At 37.6% G+C, this 4,000-nt stretch overlaps 1 annotated feature.

The window, feature by feature from the left end:
• Window positions 3,501–4,000: an enhancer, noted in NCBI's record as "H3K4me1 hESC enhancer chr5:84607579-84608078 (GRCh37/hg19 assembly coordinates)". NCBI's record gives its function as "activates a minimal SCP1, AML or CMV promoter by ChIP-STARR-seq in naive and primed H9 embryonic stem cells {active_cell/tissue: H9 hESC(naive and primed)}" and the evidence as "EXISTENCE:reporter gene assay evidence [ECO:0000049][PMID:30033119]".

Genomic DNA, 4,000 nt, shown 5'->3' with positions numbered 1-4,000 from the left:
AAGAAACAAACTGCCATTTTCATTAATCATATCTCAACCTCTAATTAAAAAATAGGGGTTATCAAGAGGTAGTCATCAGTTTGTTTGAGAATTTCTATTTCTTTTACTATATAGCACCAGAGAATTGTTGGAAGTAAATTTGTGGGAAGCAAATATGTTGAGTAATACAAAGTACCACTAGTTACTAATTTTTATACAGAAAATTAGCATCCACATCCAAATCAAAACCAAATTCAGAATGGCATTCTTCTGGCTATGAGACTGAAGATGATGGGAAATTTATTTATGATATGTAAAGAGAAATATATTCTGATAAATCTTGTCAATGACTTTCTTTTCCTAAGTGCTGAAATTCCATTTAAACTGCCATGAAATTCAGCACAAATGATAATCCCAGTGTATTCACAGCTGCTTAAAGATAAGTTACCTTGCATTTGAGCAAAGCTTGGCCAAAAGATTCTCAGCATGGCAAACTGTGATTCTGATCTCTAATTCTTAGGGAAGTGCGACTGAATTTTCATATTTTTTCCAAACAAGCCTTTAACAATTTCACTTCCTGAAGCTAACCCTATTGTTATAGAATCACTTAGACTTTCAGAATTCAGTAGGAAAAAATTAATTTTTAGTTTTCCTATTTGCAATTTTTGTAGCTAAAGAACAGGGGCAATCCGAGAAAATTCAAAACTTTAAAAAATGTAATTTCAATTCAAATATCTTTGTATGTAGGGCATAAGTGAATGAAAGCATCGACTTTGGGGTTAGAGAGTCATATCTCAGAGCTCAACTTCATCTATCTGTGTAACCTTGATCAGCTTTATGAACACCCCTGTACCTTAATTTTCTCATCTTTAAAATGGGAATACTTATGCCTAACCCAATTTGGCAGGAATTTATTACCCTTATCAGGACTGAGACATTTATTACTAATGTAGTCTCTTCAATATGATTCTCTCCCACATACATCTGATTATTGATATGTTATTGTCTCCATGAATGTGACTATAACCTTAATATCAGTTCATATAACATTCCTAAGGCTCATTTTCTTTCTTACATACATTTTCTCTCTGTCTCTATAAATGCCAAATTTAATACATATTCTTTAAGAACACTAAGATATTGAGGTCAAGATTAGTTATCCTCATCAATGCACAAATGCTAACCCTTTAACTCACATCTTTATTACATACTGTCTTTTTAAAAATTTATATATTTATTTATTTTTGAGATGGAGTCTCTCTCTGTCACCCAGGCTGGAGTGCAGTGGCATTATCTCAGCTCACTGCAACCTCTGCCTTCTGGGTTCAAGCGATTCTACTGCCTCAGACTCCCAAGTAGCTGGGATTACAGCTGCCTGCCACCATGCCTGGCTAGTTTTCATATTTTTAGTAGAGATAGGGTTTCACCATGTTGGCCAGGCTGGTCTTGAACTCTTAACCTCAGGTGATCCGCCCACCTCAGCCTCCCAAAGTGTTGGGATTACAGACAAGAGCCACCATGCTCAGCCTCTATTACATACTGTCCTTAATCCTCATTTGAAATTGAAGAAGAGAGATTTCCCTTAATCTTAGAGATATATTGTGTATCATTGGGACAGTTGCTTCATTTTTTGTTATTATTGCTTTTTTGAGGTACAGTTTCATTGTCTCCCAGGCTAGAGTGGAGTGGTGCGATCACAGCTCACTGCAGCCTTGAACTCCTGGGTTCAAGAGATCCTCCCTCCTCAGCCTCTCAAATACCTAGGACTATAAGCATGTATCACCACACTTGGCTAATTTTTAAATTTTTTTGTAGTGTCAGGGTCTCACTATGTTCCTTAGTCTGGGTTTCAAAATTATGGTCACAAACGATCCTCCTGTCATAGACTCCCAAAGTGATGAGATCACTGAAATGAGCCACTGCACCAGCCTACTTCATCTTTCGTTAGTGTCAATTGTTTCATTTGGAAAAGTGTCTTGAAAACAGTTTTAAGGCCAGGGACTGTGGCTCATGCCTGTAATCCCAGCACTTTGGGATGCCGAGGAGGGCAGATCACTTGAGGTCAGGAGTTCCAGACCAGCCTGGCCAACATGGCAAAAGTTGCTACTAAAAAATGCAAAAATGAGCCTGGTGTGGTGGTGCACGCCTATGATCCCAGCTGCTCGGGAGGCTGGGGTGGGAGAATTGCTTAAACCCGGGAGGCAGAGGTTGCATCAGCCGAGATGGTGCCATTGGACTCCAGCCTGGGTGACAGAGCTAGACTCTGTCTCAAAAACAAAGTAACAACAACAACACCATTTTAATTTCCTAAGGTTATTGTGAGAACTAAATGAGATAATTCATGTAAAGTGTTTCTCATAAAATATGACAACTCTTATTGCCATTTATCAGTGACCTTCCATTGTCTAAAATTGATCATAATTAAGAACTGTTTGCTGTAGGTCTAAAATAGAAAACTGACATTTGGAATATTGTGAAGTTAATACTAGTTATGGCCACGAGAAATAAATATCCACACATGCATGTAGAGATATCCTGAAGAAAATGTTTTGTACTCTTTCAGAAATAACCATAATAGGCACACAAGAAAAATAAAGTTAACAGAAAACAATTCTGTTTGCAAATATCTGAAATTAAATGTAGGATTCTGGCGAAAAATGTGTTATTGAAAGAATATGTGAAAATTGCTTTTCTCTATATTCAAACATTGAAACTTGGAATTATTCAAATGGAGAGATTTTCTTTCAGAAAAATAAAAATACTTAAACAGGATGCTTAAATGCTTCCTTTATCATATTATATTTCTCTTCTTTAAGGTTAACAACTTTTAATATTCAATGTCAAATATCAGAAGCTATGAAGCAAATTAATATAGTCATGTACCACATACCAATGTTTCAGTTAATGATGGACAGCATATATCACAGTGAACCGGTAGGATTACAATGGAGATAAAAAATTCCTGGCCAGGTGCGGTGGCTCACGCCTGTAATCCCAGCACTTTGGGAGGCGGGTGGATCACAAGGTGAGGAGATGGAGACCATCCTGGCTAACACGGTAAAACTCCCTCTCTACTAAAAATACAAAAAAAAAAAAAAAATTAGCCGGGCATGGTGGCGGGCACCTGTAGTCTCAGCTACTCGGGAGGCTGAGGCGGAGAATGGCCTGAACCCTGGAGGTGGAGCTTGCAGTAAGCCGATATCGTGCCACTGCACTCCAGCCTGGGCGACAGAGTGAGACTCTGTCTCACTCTAAAAAAAAAAAATTCCTGTCCCCTAGTAATGTCCTGATGATCTTGACCTTGTATAGGCTTTGGCTAAAGTGTGTGTTTGTGTCTTAGTTTTTAACAAAAAATTTTAAAAAGCAAAAAAAAAAAAGAAATACAAATAGGAAAAGCCTTATATAAAGATATAAAGAAAGAAAACATTTTTGTCCAGCTGTACGATGTGTTTGTGTTTTAAGCTCTGTTATTAAAATAGAGTGAAAAAGTTAGAAATATTTTTAAAAATTATAAAGTACCAAAGTTATAGTAAGGTAAGGTTAATTTATTACTAAAGAATTTTTAAAACTAGATTTAGTGTAGCCAGTGTACAGTGTTTATGAAATATAAAGTTAGTGCTCAGTAATATCTTAGGCCTTCATAGTCACTCACTACCACTCACTAACTCACTCAGAGCAACTTCTAGTCCTGAATGCTTTATTTATGGTGTTTTATACAAGTATATATTTTTTCACCTTTTATATCATATTCATACTGTGACTTTTGTATGTTTAGATACACAAATATCATTGTGTTACTGTAACGGGATCCTTGGGTTGTCACTTCAACAGCTGAAAACCTCTGTGGCCAGTGGCACTTTTGCCTGAGTTTTGCTTGGGTCTGCTGGGCCCACTCAGTCTGGCAACCTGCGCTCAGCTCATGCCACCAGCCTGAATCCCATGCCTGGCAATGGTGAGTGTAGCAGCAAAGGATGTGTGAGCGAATGAGCATGGGGTCTCACCACTGTGCACAACCAGGCAT

Source organism: Homo sapiens, chromosome 5 (genome assembly GCF_000001405.40).
Source record: "Homo sapiens chromosome 5, GRCh38.p14 Primary Assembly".
Lineage (NCBI taxonomy): Eukaryota > Metazoa > Chordata > Mammalia > Primates > Hominidae > Homo > Homo sapiens.
Note: the sequence above shows the minus strand (reverse complement) of the source record. Positions and strands in the feature narration are given on the sequence as shown.